We start from the raw sequence: 19437 nt of genomic DNA on the forward strand, positions 1-19437 counted from the left end.
CTTTCCCTGGGATCTACGACTCACTTGTGGAAAATGCACCTGTCAAACGCAGCTAAAGCCTGTGCTGACCTCACAGAACTCTTCTGAGCTTTCGCTGAGCTGGTGCATGTAAGTTGCCAGGCATGAAGTAAGCGCTCAATAAGTGCACGCTATTATTTTCAAGCTTCCTGTCTTAGAAACTGGACTTTTTGGCCTGGCATGGTGGCTCACGCCTGTAATCCCACGCCCTGGGAGACCGGGGCAAGTGCATCACTTGAGGCCAGGAGTTCAAGACCAGTCTGGCCAACATGGTGAAACCCTGTCTCTACTAAAAACACAAAAAAATTAGCCGGGTGTGGTGGCGCATGCCTGCAATCCCAGCTACTCAGGAGGCTGAGGCATGAGAATCGCTTGAACCCAGGAGGCGGAGGTTGCAGTGAGCCAAGATTGTACCACTGCACTCCAGCCCGGGTGATGGAGCAAGACTCTGTCTCAAAAAGAAAAAGAAAAAGAAACTGGACTTTTTGTCTCAGAACCATAGGCTCTTCAATGCAAAGGGAGCCATTGCTGATTCCCCATCAGTCAGGCCTCAGGTCCAAATCCTTCTGACAGGCTGTGTGACCGCAGGTGGGTGAGTCCACCTCTCTGGGCCTCAGTTGTTTGTTTGTTTTCTGTAAATACATCTGAAGCTCTGGGCATGCAGCCTGGAATTTTATGGTCTTGGAATTTAAGAATCCTTGCCTTAGAATCAAAGGATGCACAAAATAGTTTGAGAACTCTGAAGTTCTGGAAGCTGACTCCTCAAAGATGAGTATCTCAAGGTAGGAGGGGGCTTTTTTTTTTTTTTTTTTTTTTGAGATGGAGTCTCGCTCTGTCACCCAGGCTGGAGTGCAGTGGCAATATCTCGGCTCAATGTAAGCTCCGCCTCCCGCGTTCATGCCATTCTCCTGCCTCAGCCTCTCCGAGTAGCTGGGACTACAGGCGCCTGCCACCATGCCCGCTAATTTTTTGTATTTTTAGTAGAGACAGGGTTTCACCGTGGTCTCGATCTCCTGACCTCGTGATCCGCCCACCTCGGCCTCCCAAAGTGCTGGCATTACAAGCATGAGCCTCCACGCCTGGCCTGTTCTTGTTTTTTTGAGACAGAGTTTTGTTCTTGTTGCCCAGGCTGAAGTGGAGTTGAGTGATCTTGGCTCACTGCAATCTCGGCCGCCTGGGCTCAAGCAATTCTCCTGCCTCAGCTTCCCGAGTAGCTGGGATTACAAGTGACAAGTGCCTGCCACCATGCTTGGCTAATTTTTTTTTTTTTTTTTTTTATAGAGATGGGGTTTCACCATGTTGGCCAGGCTGGTCTTGACCTCTTGACCTCAAGTGATCTGCCCGCATTACACGCATAAGCCACCGTGCCCAGCCTAGGAGGGGGCTTTTGGAACCCAACTATTGATTCCTTTTAACCCTCATTTGATTTTTTTTTTTTTTTGAGAGGCAGGGTATCCCTCTGTCGCCCGGTTGGAGTGCAGTGGCATAATCACAGCTCACTGCAGCATTGACCTCCTGGGCTCAAGCAATTCTCTTGCCTCAGCCTCCCGAGTAGCTGGGACTACAGGTGCACACCACCATGCTCAGCTATTTTTTTTTTTCAAGACATGGTCTCACTCTGTCACCCAGGTTGGAGTGCAGTGGCTCAATATCGGCTCACTGCAGCCTCTGCCTCCTGGGTTCGAGTGATTCTCATGCCTCAGCCACCTGAGTAGCTCTGAGTAGCTGGGATTACAGGCATGCACCACCATACCCAGATGATGATGATGATGATGATGATGATGATGATGATGATGATGATTATTATTATTATTATTATTATTTTGAGATGGAGTCTCGCTCCATCACCCAGGCTGGAGTGCAGCGGCAAGATCTCAGCTCACTGCAACCTCCAATTCCCAGATTCAAGCAATTCTCCTGCCTCATCCTCCTGAGTAGCTGGGATTACAGTAGTGTGCCACCACGCCTGGATAACTTTTTTATATCATTTTTTTAGTAGAGATGGGGTTTCTCCATGTTGGCCAGGCTGGTCTTGAACTCCTGACCTCAAGTAATCCACCCACCTCGGCCTCCCAAAGTGCTGAGATTACAGGCGTGAGCCACTGCACCCGGCCAGTTTTTTGTATTTTTAATAGAGGGTTTTCACTATCTTGGCCAGGGTGTTCTCAAACTCCTGGCCTCAAGTGATTTGCCCGCCTTGGCCTCCCAATTCCAAGGCCCAAGGCCCCCAAAGTGCTGGGATTACAGGTGTGAGCCCAGGTGTGAGCCACCGCACCCAGCCTTCCCAGCTAATTTTTATATATTTTTTCTAGAGACAGGATCTTGCTATGTTGCCCAGGCTGGTCTCAAACTCCTGGCCTTAAATGACCCTCCTACTGTGGCCTCCCAGTTGCTGGGATTACAGGCATGAGCCACCGTGCCCAGAACCTCATCTGAGTCTTGAAACTAAAATTAACATTCCTTTGACTTTGTCCTTTGGCAGACTGTTTAATCAGTTCTACTGAGCAGGTATTATTTATTTTACAATGTTAAAAAAAAAAACCTACATTTTTAAACCCTAAAAATAAACTAAAGGAAAAAAATATAAAGCCAACATTCCTCACAGGGATCTCACTACCTTACCAGGCAGCTGGGGTCAATGGGATGCTGAAATATGCCCCCTGCATTCCACCCATTGGCTTTGGTGTTGGTTTTCCCCAGGTCCTCCCTCCCACGGTGGCATAAGGGTTCTGGAATTTCTGCTCAACTTGCTGCTACCCTGGGCTCTGTTTCTGGGCTCACGCAGTTTACTTTCTGACTTTGTCCACACTCCTGCCTCTGCCAGGGCCACTCTCCTACCCATCTCTGCTTAACTTTGTCTCCTTTCTAGCATTTCATACATGGAGAGATCTCAGTGAATGTTCCCAGTCAACTGCAATGGCCTGGCTCCAATGCTTCCTCCTCCAGAAAGCTTTCCTTGATCTCCAGCTCTCCAGCTCCCCAACTAAAAGTCATCCCCTACCTCTGGAGCTCCCACAGCTTCTGGTGATGGTGAGGGGGCAGCAATCTGAGGACTTCCCTCGCTGCTCCATTACTAGTCACTTACATAGAGTTGTGCAGATAGCATCTCAGGGTGATGAAATGTCCCTGCAGTGAGGAGCTAGGCCAGCCCGCCCTGTTCCAGGCCCAGGTCGCCCACTCACGGCCACGGGCTCACTGAAGCCATAGCAACCCTGGGTTGGAGGCACCCCTGTTACCATTTCACACAGTCAAACACAGGCTCAGGGAGGCAATGCCACACCCAAATCCAGTGGCAAGTAAGTGGCAGATCTCAGACTAAAATTTGTTTTTTAGTTTTGTGGGGTTTTCTATATCAGCCTACATCATGCTTTTTTTTTAATCTCTTTTGAGATGGAGTCTTGCTCTGTCGCCCAGGCTGGAGTACAGTGGTGCTATCTCCACTCACTGCAACCTCTCCCTCCTGGGTTCAAGGAAGTCTCCTTCCTCAGCCTCCCCAGTAGCTGGGATTACAGGCATGTGCCACCACGCCTGGCTAATTTTTGTATTTTTAGTAGAGATAGGATTTCGCCATGTTGGCCAGGCTGGCCTCGAACTGCTGACCTCAGGTGATCTGCCCGCCTTGGCCTCCCAAAGTGCTGGGATTACAGGCATGAGCCACTGTGCCCAGCCTGAGCCACTGGGCCTGGCCCATCATGCTTTGACGGGACTAAAATTTGGATTTGCTGGGCATGGTCACTCGTGCTTGTATTCCCAGCACTTTGGGAGGCTGAGGCAGGAGGATCACTTGAGGCCAGGCTTTTGAGACCAGCCTGGGCAACACAGTGAGACCCCACCTTTAAAAAAAAATTGTTTTTTGGCCGGGCGTGGTGGCTCACGCCTGTAATCCCAGCATTTTGGGAGGCCAAGGCAGGCGGATCACGAAGTCAGGAGATCAAGACCATCCTGGCTAACACGGTGAAACTCCGACTCTACTAAAAATATAAAAAATTAGCCCGGCGTGGTGGCAGGCACCTATAGTCCCAGCTACTCGGGAGGCTGAGGCAGGAGAATGGTGTGAACCCGGGAGGCGGAGCTTGCAGTGAGCCAAAATCGCACCACTGTGCTCCAGCCTGGGCAACAGAGTGAGACTCCGTCTCAAAAAAAAAAAAAAATTTTTTTTTTTTTAAATTAGCAGTGGCACACACATGTAGTCCCAGGGACTTAGGAGGCTAAGGTGGGAGGATTGCTTGAGCCCATGAGCTCAAGGCTGCAGTGAGAGACAGAGCGAGATCTTTTAAGAGGTGGCTCTTAAAAAAATAATAATAAAAATAAAAGTTGGATCTGATGGATTGCAAAAAACAAGCGCAAAGCACTATATGCTTCTTCCATGGGTCCCACATGGACCGGGAGCCCTTTGAATTCAGGGCCTGGTGCTCCTTGCCCTCTGCCTACTCTCAGTGCTCAGCACAGGGCGTTGCTTAGGGTGGGGGCTCCTGGGGGTAGAAGGTCAAGGGCTTTGGCTATAGTCCTGGCATCAAACTTGGGGTGTAATCCCAGTTCTTCCTCATAATATCAGGTTGGTGCAAAAGTAACTGTGGTTTTCACCATTAAGAGTATGTGGTGTAGGGGGCTAGGGGAGGGATAGCATTAGGAAAAATACCTAATGTAGATCATGGGTTGATGGGTGCAGCAAACCACCATGGCATGTATATACCTATGTAACAAACCTGCACATTCTGCACATGAACGTGTTACCCCAGAACTTAAAGTATATAAAAATAAAAAAAAGAAAAAAAAAGTAATGTGACCCAGGGCAAGTCACTGCACTTCTCTGGACCTCAAGTTTCCCATCTGTAAACGGGCACAAGAAGGCTCTCCCTACCCAGTGATGAGGGAGAAAATCAAATACCTCTCATGTAAAGAATGCCTCTCCTCCAGTGTCTAGCAGCCAGCACGGGGTCTGCACACAGTAGGCACTCAATATGTTATTTATGATTATTATTATTACTATCATTGTTATTTCAAAACTGCATTTTCTTTTTTTTTCTTTTTTCCCGGGCTGGAGTGCAGTGGCGCAAATCTCAGCTCACTGCAACCTCCGCCTCCTGGGTTCAAGCGATTCTCCTGCCTCAGCTTCCTGAGTAGCTGGGATTACAGGCACGCACCACCACTTCTGGCTAATTTTTTGTATTTTTAGTAGAGATGGGGTTTCACCATGTTGGCCAGACTGGTCCTGCATTCCTGACCTCAGGTGATCCACCCGCCTTGGCATCCCAAAGTGCTGGGATTACAAGCATGAGCCACCGTGCCCGGCCAAAACTGCATTTCAATGTTCCCAGTACCCAGGATAAATGAAGCTTTGGATAAATCTGAGCTGTGCCCATTATCTGTGATAAAGAACTGAGTCATCCTCTCCTGCTCCCTGCTTCCAGCGCCAGCACACAGTAGGTGCACAAAGATTGGGTGGGATTGGAAAGCTGCATCCTTTACATGGAGACACTGTTGGGGCCCCGTCCAGCTGGCAAGTGAGTGGGGTCAGATGATATCAAATATTGGGTTGCCCTGAGTTTGGGGCCAGGAAAGAATAATGGCTGGTGTAGGAAGAAGGTGCTGAGAATGAAACTGGATCCAAATGCTGCCTCGACTCCGAGAACCTCCCCTCCTGGGAATACACAGTGAGGTCTGGCTCCTAACAAGGCTTGAGGAAGGGCTCTGCCCACCCGTAATGGAGCAGGCTCTGAGACCTTCAGTGTCCTCTGACCAACCCCTGGCCAGCCCCTCCTACCTTCACATAGTCGCTGCCAGCCTCTGGCTCTCCAGCAGCCCTGGAAGGAGAAAAGACAAGTGAGCATCCCCAGCCCTGCTTGGCTCCCCAGCTGCCGGTCTCTTGCCTGCCTGCCTGGGGCCAGCACCTGGCCCTTAGGACCCCAGCAGGATCACCCTGAAGGCAGGAGGGGGCACTTATCAGCTGGCCTGGCTCCTCCACTTTCCAGCTGTGCACCCCTAGGCAAGTCCCTTCACCTCTCTGAGCCTGCATTTCGTATCTGTAAATCAGGAATAATGACAGCCTCTGCCTAATGGCATTGACTCAAGGACCCAGGGCGTGATGAACATTACATGCTTATTATGGAGTCTGCTTCCCAAACCACTTTCTTCACTGGACTCCAGACACCACGCCTCCCTGGTTTTCTTCTTCTTCTGTCTGCCTTCCCTACCCCCTCCTCCCACCCCACCCCCATCATCCCTGACTCTAAACACTGGAGGGCCCCAAGTGGGGATCAGCCCGTCCTCTTACCCTGCACTCACTTCCTAGGGTAGAGTGACCCAGTCACGGCCACTGCCCAGCTGACTGCGGAGCCACTGCCGGTGCTAGAGGGCTACAGAATTGATTCTGCCCCCAGGGTGGAGAGCCTGGAGAGGCCAGAGGCCAGAGACGGCTGTTTTTCCTTCCTTCCTCCTGAGGGCCACCGTGAACCACTCCCCCCACCGCATGGCCTTAAATGCTACCCCTACCCTCAGGCAGCCTGGACCTGCCCCTCCAACCCCAGACTTGGAAACCCAACTACCTCCTGGACGCCTCCCCTTGGATATCTGAAGGCCATCTACAACTTGTGTATCCAAAGCAGAACTGTGGCTCCTCCCTGCCCCCTCCCCATCTTCCCCGTCTCAGCTGATGTCAGTTTCCTCTTTCCTGCAGCTTTGGCCAAAAACCCTGTGGTCCTTTGTGCCCCGTCTTCCATTCAGCTCCACGCCCAGTCCACCAGGAAATCCTGCCGCTCCGCCGTCAGAATCCTCTCCGCATGTCCACCCCGTCCCCAAAGTGGGGCCACCCTCGTGTCTCCAGTGGAGCAGAGGAGCCTTCCCTCGGGCTCCGTGTCCACTGCCACCCACAGTCAGCTTCTGCCCCAAGGCCAGAAGGCACCTAAGCTTACAACCTAAGCATTTGATGGCAAACGAACCATCCTCAGCCCTTCAGCGGCTCCCATCTCTAGAAGAACAAAATCTAAACTCCTCTCCATGGCCATGCAATTTATCATCCAAACCAGAACTTTTCTTCCTTTGTGAGAGTAAAGACGGTACCATGATTATGCCAGAAAAACAGGCATAAATTGGCTCATCTGTTCTCCAACCCACAAGGCCCTGTGTGGCCTGCTGGTACCCGACAGCCACCCTGCCGACCCTCCAGGCTGTCTCCCTTGCACCTCATGTCCCTTATTCTGCCTCTGCCCCACCCTCCTTGGCAACTTGTTCCGGCCACAGGGCCTTCGCACTTGCTGTTCCCTCTGCCTGGAATGCTCTTCCCCAAGGGCTTCATGAAGCTTGTCCCTCCTCCCTCTTTATTCAGGGCTTTGCTTAATGTCACCTCTTCGGAGAAGCCTTCCCTGACCTCCCCACCTTGAATAGTCCCTCATTCCTTCACTCTGTGTTCCCAACCCTACTTTATTTTCAATTTTTGCAATTTCTGCCTGAAATGGCCACTTCATATTTATTTATTGACTTAATTATCTGATGCCCTTATGAAAGTGTTGACTTTGTCTAAATCACCACTGAGACCCAGTCCCCAACACAGTGCCTGCAGGAGCTCAAGAAATATTGCTTAAAGAAAAATTAGCCGGGCGTGGCAGTGAACGCCTGTAATCCTGGCTACTTGGGACGCTGAGGCAGGAGAATCACTTGAACCCAAGAAGAAGAGGTTGAAAGAAAGAAATATTGCTTAAAGGGATGCATGAATAGTAAAGAGCCAATTTTAATTGTTGATCGCTGTCATCATTAATTTTGTTAGGCTGGGTCCAGGTTCTCTGGTTAAGAAAGGCCTCAGCCTTCCCATCTGCAAAATGGGGAGGGGAGTCAAATATTGGACCTCCTCCTCAAATACAGGAGCCTAGTATTTACAAACAAAAGAAAGCTGAGATAAAAAATAAAATTGTGAGTTCCCCCAGTCCTAAAGCCAAAAGCTCCTCCTTAAGACGTTGTCTGATAGCCCTCCCTGTTCTAACATACTAGGGTTCTTCATCGCTAATCTTCTCTCCTAGAAAGCCCTAGCTGGTAACTAACCACAGTCCCTCAAGCTACAGCCCAGCAACAGTAGGCTTTTGGGTTCTCTCTGTCCAGCAGCAGTGGGAGTGAGGTAGAGTAGGGACCCCTCCCCCAGCCACCTCCGCCCACTCTTCCCGGGTGAGGCATCCCATCCCAACATTTCCTGCTATTCAGGCCCGGAAATCCTCCCACTGCTGGGAACAGATTGGCCAGGACACTGGATCAACCCAGCGCTTCCTCCTGCTTCCTGTACTTCCCCTCGGGCTCTGGGACAGGGGCAGAGCCTTGGAGACAGGGTGCCTGCACAAGAGATCAGGCCTGACTAGGGTGGCCAGAGCCTATAGGGGTGCTCAGGGCAGAGGACCAGCTCAGGGAAGCTGAGGCTCTGGGGCCACTCTTTCACCCCATGGCCTCACCATGGGGTGGCGCTACAACACTCTGACATGTCCAAGACACAATCACCATGTCCAGTTACAATCCGCTGCCATCACTTGCCTGGACTATCACCACCACCTCCCACTGGCTTCCCTGCCTCCATCTGTGTCCCTGAGACCTATTCTCCCCGCACAGCAGCCACAGCAGTCCTGTTCAAAGGAAGGCCAGATCACAGCTTTCCTCTGCTCCAACCCACTTGCGTGGCCCCCCAGCTTCACTCACAGTAAGAGCCAAGGTCCTGGAAACAGCCTTGCACACTGACCCCATGGCCCACCACACTCCCCCTCACCTGCGCTGCTCCATCTCCCCCACCCCACCTCAGGGTCTTTGCACTTTCTATTCCTGCTGCCTGGAATATTTTTCCGGCAGATATCCCCCGGGTTCCCTCCCTCCTGCTCTTTGTTGTTGTTGTTGTTGTTGTTGCTGTTGAGATGGAGTCTCGCTCCATCGCCCAGGCTGGAGTACAGTGGTGCGATCTTGGCTGACTGCAACCTCCGCCTCCCGTGTCCAAGCGATTCTCCTGCCTCAGCCTCCCAAGTAGCTGGGATTACAGGTGACCACCACCACGCCGGGCTAATTTTTTGTATTTTTAGCAGAGATGGGGTTTCGCCATGTTGGCCAGGCTGGTCTTGAACTCCTGACCTCAGGTGATCTGCCTGCCTCAGCCTCCCAAAAAGTGCTGGGATTACAGGCGTGAGCCACCATGCCTGGCCCTTCAGTTCTTTTTTTTTGAGACAGAGTCTCACTCTGTCATCTAGGCTGGGATGCAGTGGTGAGATCATGGCCACCATAGCCTCGACCTCCTGGCTGGAGCGATCCTCCCGTCTCAGCCTCCCAAAGTGCTGGGATTACAGGTGTGAGCGACCTCACCCAACCCCTCCTTCAGTTCTTCACTAAAATGTCCCCTTCTCAGCAAGGTCTTCCCTGGCCACCCTTTCTGAAAGTGTGATCTTCCTCCACTACCACATTCCCTTCCCTGCTTAATTCTGCCCTGACCCCTCATCTGACTTAGCACGCATTTCCTCTCATGCAGGGACTAGCTCCTCTCACTAGAATGTCAGCCCCACAAGGACAAGGGTTTGTGTTTCTGTCTAGACAACATCAGGAACCATCAGGAACTTAGTAAATATATTTTTTTGAATGAATGAATGAGTGTCACAGCAGCCCCCTGCAGCCCTGAGGACAAAGTCTAGTCCTCCTGGCTGGGCCCTCTGTGACCCAGCCTCTGCTGGTCAAATCTCTTCTCTCTCCTCTCCCTTCCTTGCACTCTGGCCTCCTCAAACTTCCTCCAAAGAGCTCCACCCCCTGCAGCCTCAGGGCCTTTGCACGTGCTGTTCCCTCTGCCTAGAATGTCTTTGCTCCCTTTTGGCTAGGGTCATTCCTACTCAGCCTTCAGAGTTCAGTTTGCTTGGGGATTTCTAGAAAACTCTCCCTCCCATTGTAATGATCAAATCCAGGAATCAAAGCATCCATTTTTAAAACTCAGCTCCACTAATTAATTTATTTATTCCTCATTTTACAAACCTAAAAGAGACTTCTCCTGCCATATTAGTGGTGAAATCAATTAATAAATAATAGTGATAATTGAGCTAAATCAGTCCCATTAATCATCAGCATTAATTATTTAAATAACCAACCCCTTTCACTGCCTGTATTAACTGATTTGTTCTGATAACTGATACCACTTATTGCATACATTAGCTTAATTAATTGGATTAATGAGCAGCAATTAAAGCCCATTATCCTTATTTTCCCAATGCATGTTTAAATCTGAGCTTCACCCTCAGGGCCTTCATCCTGGGCCAGAAGGAAGGGTGACGTTCCCCCAGGGGCCCTGTAGGAGAAGGGGTGGGGAGAGGCTGCCATCCTGCCCCACCCTGGCCCTCTTTCATGATAGTGACCTGGTCCTCTGCATAGGCCTGTCTGCTCTCTCTCCCTGTCTGTTCCCTTGGGCCTTGAGGCCTGGACATACGTCCTCAAGTGGAGACCTCCCCAACCTCTGCCACCTGCCTTTCAGCTTTTCCCCTGCCCCTGATCCCTGGCTCCCTGCCTTCCCTCTCTGAAGCTCAACTTCGTCATCTGTAAAGTGGGCACATTATAACTATCTTCCCAGAGGGTCTGTGAGGACCACATGAGAAGGAGGGGTGCAAGGTTTCCTGGCCCATGTGGGGCTCCTCTTGTTGCTCCAGACTCCACCCATGAAGATCTGCCACCCTCCCACCATGCCCCTCCTGGGGGGCTGAAGTTTCTTTCCTTCCTGTTTTTGTTTGTTTGTTTGTTTGTTTGTTTTGAGATGGAGTCTTGCTCTGTTGCCCAGGCTCAAGTGCAGTGTCATGATCTCGGCTCACTGCAACCTCTGCCTCCCGGGTTCAAGTGATTCTCTTGCCTCAGCCTCCTGAGTAGCTGGGACTACAGGTCTGCGCCACCACGCCCGGCTAGTTTTTGTATTTTTAGTAGAGATGGGGTTTCACCATGTTGGCCAGGCTGGTCTTGAACTCCTGGCATCAGGTGATCCACCTGCCTTGGCCTCCCAAAGTGCTGGGGTTACAGGCGTGAGCCCTGTGCCCAGCTTCTTTCCTTCCTTCACGCCCATCTTCACTCACCCACCGCAGAGAAGCAACGGGCACCTGCCTGCTCTGAGCTTCTCAGTCCTTAAAGGCCCTGGGCAAAAAGAGCTGGGTGGAAAGCCCCGTCTCTGCCAGGACACCAGCCATGGGGCCTGTGGGATTCCCTGCCGGGAAGGCTCTTGGCTTTGGCCCTGCCCCACTCCCCAAGATGGGCCACCATTGTGCCCAGCACATTCTGCTCCCTCTCCACCGTCTGGAGCCCTCAGTTTTCCTGAGTGGGCTGCAGTGTCCAGCAGGAGCTCAGGACGGGCGACAGCCTTGTGAGGAGAAGGCAGAGCAGGGGCCATTCTTCCCAGAGCGGAGCTGAGGATGCTGGGCCCTGACAGCTGCCACCCAAGTCTCAAAACCTGCCAAAGAAGAGAGAAAAGAAAAGGCATCTACTGAGTGCTAGTGGATGAGGGAACGCCTGGATCTCGAAGCCCCATTTTACAGGGGAGAAAACTGAAGCTTGTAACTTGACCCAGGGCATGCAGCTGCTCAGACTAGAACCAGATGGCCTGATGTCTAATTCCCTGCTCTGTTCCTTACATGGGCGGACTCCCCCAGACATTGGGAGCCACTTCTGGGTGCAGAGGAGGTGAAGCTAGAGAGGGAAGGCAAAGAAACAGACAAACAAAAAAACAATATTTCAACCAGAGCCCAGAACCAATGTCAGGAAGAGGAAATGGGGTGGAGCCTGAGAGGGCCCTCGGCTGGGAGGTAGGAAGTGGTGTGGCTCTGGGCAAGTCCCTCTCATCAGGCCTCAGTTTCCCCTTCTACAGCATGAGTAGCTCCTGTTTACTGGTACTTGCTTGGGCCAAGCCCAGAATAAATGCTCCACCTGACATATCCCGTCCTCACAGTGACTCTATGAAGCAGGTGCTGTCACTGTTCTCAATTTACTGATGGGGAAACTAAGGCTCAGAGAAGAAAAGGGACTGGCTCAAGGTCACACAGTCAGTGGGCCTCTGAGCTACTGCTGTACCTGACCCCTATCCTCCCCAGCCCTCACCCCACGCAGGTCCAGCAGCCTGCAACTGGGTCCCCTGGGGGTTTGGGGGGATGTGGATCCAGCTAGGGGCCGGGGGAACAGCCCATCCTTCCCAAGCCAGCCCGGTTCCCACAGCCCAAGGCGTCCGGGGGTCTCAAGGACTGTGAGAAAGTCTCCACAGGAAATGAGAGCCGGGAGCAGCTGGGCCCCTTCGGAAGACAAGGACTAGCCTCCCAGAGTCTGAAGAGGCTGCACAGACACGGCCCACCACGACCCCCACCCCTGGTGGGTAATCGCTACCAGATGCCCAGCAGCTGACGTCACCCTGCAGGGCCGAGAGGGTCGTGGGACTCTGGGGAGAGTTGGGAATTCTTGGACCAGAATCAACATTCCAAAAGGAAATGGAGTGGTGGGGGGAGTATCCTGGCCTGTTTTCAGTGCCTGGCACCAGGGCTGGGGAAGGGGCAACACAGGGTACCCCTGGTTCTCAAGTCTCCATTTCCTTCCAAACAGCCCCTTGGGAGTGAGGGTAGGGGCTTGGATCTCTAGGTGGGAGGCAAAGGACACTCAGATGAGGCACTAAAAAGCGACACAGAACAGCAATCAGATCCTCCTAAAAGTTCGAGGCTGCAGCAAGCTATGATCGAGCCGCTGCACTCCAGCCTGGGCAACAGAATAAAGCCCCTGTCTCAAAAAAACATCAAACACAGAAAAGATTCTCCTAAAAAGAGGTCTTTTAACAACATAAGTCACAGTGGGGCCTGCTGCTGCTCAAGGCCAGCAATGGCTCCCGTTTTGCTCAGAGCCAAAGCCAGGTCCTTGCTGGGCTCTTCCAGGCCCTACGTTATCTGCTCCCATTTCCATCCCAGCCTCCCAGCCCACCCCTCCCTGTCCTCCCCACCTTGCTCTGCCCCGGCCACAGTGGTCTCTACTGTTCCCCAAACATGCCACGTCAGGGCCTTTATACACGCTGTTCCCTTGGCCTGGTATGCTCCTTCCCAGCCAGCAAGAGGGTTTGTCCCTTCGTCTCCTTTGTTCAAACACCACTTCCTCACTGAGCCTTTCTTTCTGGCTAACCTTCTTAAATTGGCACCACCAGCCACTCCCCACTTTCGCCAACCAATTCTAGAGCTGATTTTAAATTTTCTCGTTAAGGCTTTTCTCTTCTAGTCGACCACAGAACTCATTTATCTTGTCTATCTTCTGTCTCCCCTGCCCTGGAATGGGGACTCCATGAGGGCAGGGTTTTGTCTGCCATGCTCACTGCTATCTCCCAGGACCTAGAACAGTGTCTGAGGCATAGCTGTACCTCAGTCAAAATGACAATGAATATCATTCCCATTCAACTAACTGCATCAACTCAAGCAAGTTATTAGCCTCACAAAAATCTCAACATCTTCATCTGTAAAATGGGCTCCTTTCCAGAGAGTCATGGGAAGTCATTTGAAATAATGGTAGAAAAAGCTGGCTGGGTGCGGTGGCTCACGCCTGTAATCCCAGCATTTTGGGAGGCTGAGGCGGGCAGATCACCTGAGGTCAGGAGTTCGAGATCAGCCTGACCAACATGGAGAAACTACGGCTCTACTAAAAACACACACACACACACACAAAATTAGCCAGGCGTGGTGGCGCATGCCTGTAATCCCAGCTACTCGGGAGGCTGAGGCAGAAGAATTGCTTGAACCCAGGAGGCGGAGGTTGCGGTCAGCCGAGATCACACCATTGCACCCCAGCCTGGGCAACAAGAGCAAAACTCCATCTCGAAAAAAAAAAAAAAAAGAAATAAAGAAAAAACAAAAGAAAAACTTTGAGATTTTTACTTGCAGGAGGGGAAATGTGACCTAGTGGTTTAGAGCTTGGGCTTAGTCAGGCCTGGGATCAAATAGTGAGGCCTGACACCCAATTTCTCTGTGACCCCAGGAGAGTCCCTTCCCCTCTCTGAGTCTCAGTCTCCTCACTGGCAAAATGGAGCAAGTAGAGGCTCCCACCTCACACCCCAGTCTAGTGTTGAGCTAGACAACACCTGTCAGGTGCTTGCTGGTTGTCAGCTGGTGATCATGCCTGGTGGGACCCTCGCCTGACAATTCCAGTGTGGGTAGGCGTGGGGTAGGGAGTGCTGGGGCTTCCTGTCCCTCTCTAGGCCTCTGCTTCCTCCTCTGTAGGATGGATTGAGGAGGGAGGGTGCCTCTCTGGGACCTGCAGAAGACTGAAGGTCCTTGGGAGGTAGGGGGCAGGCTAGGCTGGTGCTTTCCTTTTTTAGCCAGGGGAGCTAAAGGTCCCTCCTCCCTCCTTCCTCTTCATCCCCATGATCTCAGCAGGGAACAGGACACCAGGAAACCCCTGCAGCCTCACCTCTTCCCCTTCCTTCCTCCTGCTCCAGGTGCACCCTGTCTCCCCGGGGTGGGGGAGGGACACTGTCTCCCCAGCTTAGGCCTGGGATGGCCTCCTCTAGACACTCAGGAACAGGGCCCCCGAACTTGCTCACTGGCATTTCCCAAATGTCCTCCCCAAACTGAATGGATCCTCAGAGACCATCTCAGGCCCATCTGGGCTACTGGGGAGACTAAGGACCAGAATGGGGCAGGGCTAGTCTGAGATCTCATGGGCCAGGCTGCTCCCCTGACTCCAGGGCACAGGGTTGAGGTTCAGGGACTTCTGGAAGGAATGTTCAACAGTCCCTGGAGGGCAGATGGAGCACTGGGTCCCGGGGCACCAGAAGGGGGCTCAATCTGGTCTGCTAACCCCATCCTCCTCGGGACACTCCAGATGCTGGAGGAGAAGAGTCTCTTCATTTCCTTGGTCAGCTCCTGGCTAAGCATGATGCCAGAGGCACTGTTAGGCCCACCAGGGCTCTGTCCACAGGGGAAGAAGGCTTGGGCTGGGTCCTGGACTTGCCATTCTCAAGGTTTCTCAAGACCACCTTTCTCAGCGGCCCTGGCCCTGCTGGAGAGGAATGTGCTGCCCAGGTGTTAAGAGCATGGGCCAGGAAGCTGGGTTTAAACCCTGGTTCTGACGCTCACTGGCTGTGTCAAACTCGGCAGGCAAATCTTTCTTTCCTCATCTATAAAATGGGGGTGATAGTAGTACCTCCCTCCTGGGGCTGTTGTGTAGAGTAGATAAGCAGATGCCTGACCTGCGGTGACAAAGTTACACCCAAAGAAAACTGGCTTAGAAAAGTCCCTGATGCTAACCCCGCCCCCAAATTTGTCAGCTGCCCCAGGGGTGCAGATTTCCTCCTTCGACCTCTCCTGCTCCCCGCTGGCCCTCCCCAGGCCCAGCTCGGTCACTCACCCTCGGGACCCCAGCGCGGGGCACCTTCGGCCCACAGCAGTCATGCTTCCCCCGCTGTCGCCGCCGGCAACCCGGGGACCTCCTAAACCCAGCGGCTCCTGCCTTTCTCGGGCCACTGAGCTGCAGAGCTCAGTGCCGGACTCCGGGGGCGGAGACTGACCTGTAGACCACGCCCCCAGACACGCCCCTGCGCTCCTTGCCCGGCCCCACTCCACCGCCTACTCCACCGGCAGGGAAGGACGCTCTCCGCCTCGAACACGGCCCTCCGCCTGCGGTCTCGCTCCGCCCCCTCCCCATCAGTCAGTGTCGGGAAGGCCTCGCCCCCTAGCACACCCCTCCGCCTCGCCCGCCCGGCTCCAACGCTCGCTTCCCCAGCAGCTCTCCGCGCAGCCTGGGGTAGGCCACGCCCCTAGACACGCCCTCAACTCCGCCTCGCCTCGCCCCACCCCGCCCCGCCCCGCTCCCGCGAAACTCGGCTTCCCTGGGTGGGAGGGGCCAGGCTCCTGGTGCAGTCTCATACCTTGGGGTGTCTTAGAACGCCCCAGGACCCATCATCAGGCCCTCTCAGCTACATACAATCCTTGGTCCTTTACTCCCGAATGAGGACGAATGTAGGAGGGGATGACAGAAGGCAGCCGGGGATGGTGGAAAAACATGAGTTCTACTAATCGTAAATACAGCATTCCCATTTACTGAGTGCAGCATGCCAGCCACTGTGTTGAGATTTTACAGGTATGTTATTCTTGAATCCTCACCACAACCCGACCAGGTAGATGCTATTGTTACGTCCATTTATCAGATGAGAAACTGAGGCTCCAAGAGAGGAAGAGATTTGTCCAGTCATGCAGCCAGTAAGAGGCAGAATCTGGACTGGATTCACTCTACCCCTTTACATGGTCCTCCTCACTGATCAGGGGTCTAGGCAATTACAGCTCAGAGACAGAGGCTGTGCTTGGTGTCTCAGGAAAAAGCTGCTCAAGAAAGTTACCAGAAAAAAACAAAAGAAAGAAAGGTCCCAGAACTCTGGCCCTACAATTACTTTTGCTCAGGTGGCTTTTTTTTTTTTTTTTTTTTGAGTTGGAGTCTCGCTTTGTCGCCCAGGCTGGAGTGTGCAATGGCGCGATCTTGGGTCACTGCAACCTCTGCCTCCCAGGTTCAAGCAATTCTGATGCCTCAGCCTCCTCAGTAGCTGGGATTACAGGTGCCCGCCGCCACACCCGGCTAATTTTTGTATTTTTAGTAGAGATAGGGCTTCACCATGTTGGTCAGGCTGGTCTCTTTGGCCAGGCTGGTCTCGAACTCCTGACCTTGTGATCTGCCTACCTCGGCCACCCAAAGTGTTGGGATTACAGGCGTGAGCCACTGCGCCCGGCCAGCTGACTTTTTTTCTTTATTTCAACAGGCACATGTGACTGGTGTGGTTGAGACAAAGGTTCTAAGGATTGAAAAGCCGGGGACTCCTTTGGCTGGGATTGAGGGGTCTCCCGGGGTGTGAAAGGCATGGCCCTAGGATTGAGAAGGTGGTGAGTCTAATGTGGTACATAAGTGTGCAGCCTCTGGAAGCAAGCAGATTCCTGCTCAAATCCCAGTTCTGTGTAACCTTGGCTGAGTCTCAGTTTCCCAATCTGTAAGTGGGGCTAATAATTGAATCTTTTTTTTTTTTTTCAAGACTGAGTCTTGCTCTGTTGCCCAGTCTGGAGTACAGTGGTGTGATCTCAGCTCACTGCAACCTCCATCTCCCAAGTTCAAGCAATTCTCGTGCCTCCACCTCCTGAGTAACTGGGACTACAGGCACGCACCACCACGCCCTGCTAGTTTTTGTATTTTTAGTAGAGACGGGGTTTTACCATGTTAGCCAGGCTGTTTTCAAACTCCTAGCCTCCCAAAATACTGGGATTACAGGCATGAGCCACTGCACCCAGCCTTAATGATTGAATCTTCTATGGAGTTTTCAGTGAGATACTTGTTTTGATACCCAGTAAAAATGCTTACTAAATGGGAGCTATTGTCCTATCATCACAATTTGTATTTTTACATGAACTCAACTCACCCTATAACCAAATTAAGCTGACAAATGGTTTTCTAGACTAGGTGGAGGTATTGTCCAGCAGAACTAATGGTGATGATTTGCGTGAGGGGGTTCAGGGCAGGGGTCTAGTGACTGGGTTTAGGACCCATCCAGCAGCTGAGGGCCCATGCTAGAGGCTAACTGGGACTTTGAAGGCAGGGGGTCTCGGTTCACATGCTGGCTTTGTCATTAGCAAATATGCACCCTGACTGAGGCAGATGATGTCACTCTGTGAATCTCAGCTTCCTCATCTGTCCTGTGGAAACAGTAACAGTCTCTCCTTGCCAGTTTTCTTTTGCTAATTACAAGTAAAGGGTTTAGCACAGTACCTGGTCTACAGTAAGCACCTGGTCAATGTGTAGGTTTTTTTCTTTTTAACCCAGATGTGTACTGGGTTAAAAAGAAGCCCCGGCCAGCACTTTGGGAGGCCGAGGCAGGCAGATCACCTGAGGTCAGGAGTTCGAGGCCAGCCTGGACAACATGGTGAAATCCTGTCTCTACTAAAAATACAAAAATTAGCCAAGAGTGGTGTTGGGCGCCTGTAGTCCCAGCTACTCGGGGGGCTGAGGTAGGAGAATTGCTTGGACCCGGGAGGCAGAGGTTGCAGTGAACCGGGATCACACCACTGCACTCCAGCCTGAGAGACAGAGCGACACTCTGTGTCAAAAAAAAAAAAAAGAAAAAGAAAAAAACAGAAGCCATCCCTGCAGGTCCCAACCAGCCCCTGGGCACCTACCTTTCTGAGTGCACGTCCCTGGGAGGTCTCTCCTCTTCTACGTCTCCTGTGGGGACCTCAGGCTTTCTGATGGGGTCTACCTCCACTGCTGAAGGGTTGGGTTCCATTGCTGGGGTGTCCTCTAGAGGGCCAGTGGCCTTCACCATCACCTCTTTGGCTGCCTCCAAGCCTGGGGGGTCGGGTACACCTCCGGGTACCAAGTTGGGCTTGGGACCCGCCTCCTGGGCCTGCCGGGCAGCCTGTGAGTTCTGTGCTTTCTTGATGCTGGGGCGAGGCATGGTGCCCATGTGGCTGTACATGTCACTGGAGCGGGCATAGGCTGGGGGACTCTTGGGCACCGTCACCATGTCATCCTGCGTGGCTTCAAAGGTGTCAGGCTCCAAATGGGACTGCCTACTGATGGAAGCTGAGGATCGTCTCAGAGTGAAGGACCGAGGGAGGTTGGAGAGACTCCCAAAGCCCTTGAACTTGAAGAACTCTAGCAGAGGGGAAGGGAAGGAAAAGAAGTTAATGACAATGTCAACATCAGTGATAATAATGAACAATTCCTGCAGTTTCACTCGGTGAGGGGCTGAAGAGGGCTGGCGGTTTCCCAGACACCCCTTCTAAAATTGTTAACACGCCCCTAGAAATGGTATAAGATGGGAGCTTTGGAGTCACGGGGCCCTGGACTTGAATTCCTGCTCTTTCACATCCTAGCTGTGTGACCTTAGGCAAGTCACTTGACCTCTCTAAGCTTAGCCTCATTCTCCACATCAGTAAAATAGAGATTCTAGCACCTACCCACTAGGGCAATGTGAGAATTACAGAAAAGCTTAGGCCAGGCGTGGTGGCTCATGCCTGTAATCCCAGCACTTTGGGAGGCCGAGGCGGGTGGATCACCTGAGGTCAGGAGTTCGAGACCAGCCTGGACAACATGATGAAACCCCTTCTCTACTAACAATACAAACATTAGCCGGGTGTGGTGGCGCACCTGTAATCCCAGCTTCTTGGGAGGCTGAGGCAGGAGAATTGCTTGAACCCGGGAGGCGGAGGTTGCAGTGAGCCGAGACTGCACCATTGCATTCCAGCCTGGGCAATAAGAGCAAAACTCCGTCTCAAAATTAAAAAGAAAAAGAAAGAAAAGATTATAAATAACATGCTTAACATGGTGCTTGGCACACAGAATAGCCTCAATCAGAATTAGCAAAGATGATGATGATGACGATAATAAATGTTTCTCAGCTGGGTGTGGTGGCTCACACCTGTCATCCCAACACTTTGGAAAGATGAGCCA

At 52.3% G+C, this 19437-nt stretch overlaps 1 protein-coding gene across 5 annotated transcripts in view, besides 4 other annotated features; it reads right to left on the reverse strand.

Annotated features, from left to right (window-relative positions):
* SH2D3C (SH2 domain containing 3C) overlaps positions 1-19437 on the reverse strand; it is a 40350-nt gene that overhangs the window by 17512 nt on the left and 3401 nt on the right. The window contains exons 1-3 of one of the 5 annotated variants that reach the window (NM_001252334.2): positions 15358-15466; positions 11073-11443; positions 5783-5822 (exon numbers count right to left, since the gene is read on the reverse strand). In NM_001252334.2, the coding sequence (NP_001239263.1) occupies positions 5783-5822; positions 11073-11383 (351 nt within the window). In that variant the 5' untranslated portion in view covers positions 11384-11443; positions 15358-15466. Of the gene's footprint in view, positions 1-5782; positions 5823-6292; positions 6613-11072; positions 11444-15357; positions 15467-18161; positions 18640-19437 lie in introns of those variants that run through there. The other 4 variants (NM_170600.3, NM_005489.4, NM_001142531.1 and 1 more) reach the window with 4 other exon arrangements.
* Positions 5440-6317: an enhancer, noted in NCBI's record as "H3K4me1 hESC enhancer chr9:130523547-130524424 (GRCh37/hg19 assembly coordinates)". NCBI's record gives its function as "activates a minimal SCP1, AML or CMV promoter by ChIP-STARR-seq in naive H9 embryonic stem cells {active_cell/tissue: H9 hESC(naive)}" and the evidence as "EXISTENCE:reporter gene assay evidence [ECO:0000049][PMID:30033119]".
* Positions 6318-7193: an enhancer, noted in NCBI's record as "H3K4me1 hESC enhancer chr9:130524425-130525300 (GRCh37/hg19 assembly coordinates)". NCBI's record gives its function as "activates a minimal SCP1, AML or CMV promoter by ChIP-STARR-seq in primed H9 embryonic stem cells {active_cell/tissue: H9 hESC(primed)}" and the evidence as "EXISTENCE:reporter gene assay evidence [ECO:0000049][PMID:30033119]".
* Positions 8401-8983: an enhancer, noted in NCBI's record as "H3K4me1 hESC enhancer chr9:130526508-130527090 (GRCh37/hg19 assembly coordinates)". NCBI's record gives its function as "activates a minimal SCP1, AML or CMV promoter by ChIP-STARR-seq in primed H9 embryonic stem cells {active_cell/tissue: H9 hESC(primed)}" and the evidence as "EXISTENCE:reporter gene assay evidence [ECO:0000049][PMID:30033119]".
* Positions 15433-15922: a silencer, noted in NCBI's record as "silent region_20309". NCBI's record gives its function as "represses an Ori minimal core promoter by ATAC-STARR-seq in GM12878 lymphoblastoid cells {active_cell/tissue: GM12878}" and the evidence as "EXISTENCE:reporter gene assay evidence [ECO:0000049][PMID:35858748]".

This window comes from Homo sapiens, chromosome 9, assembly GCF_000001405.40.
Source record: "Homo sapiens chromosome 9, GRCh38.p14 Primary Assembly".
In the NCBI taxonomy this organism is placed as follows: domain Eukaryota; kingdom Metazoa; phylum Chordata; class Mammalia; order Primates; family Hominidae; genus Homo; species Homo sapiens.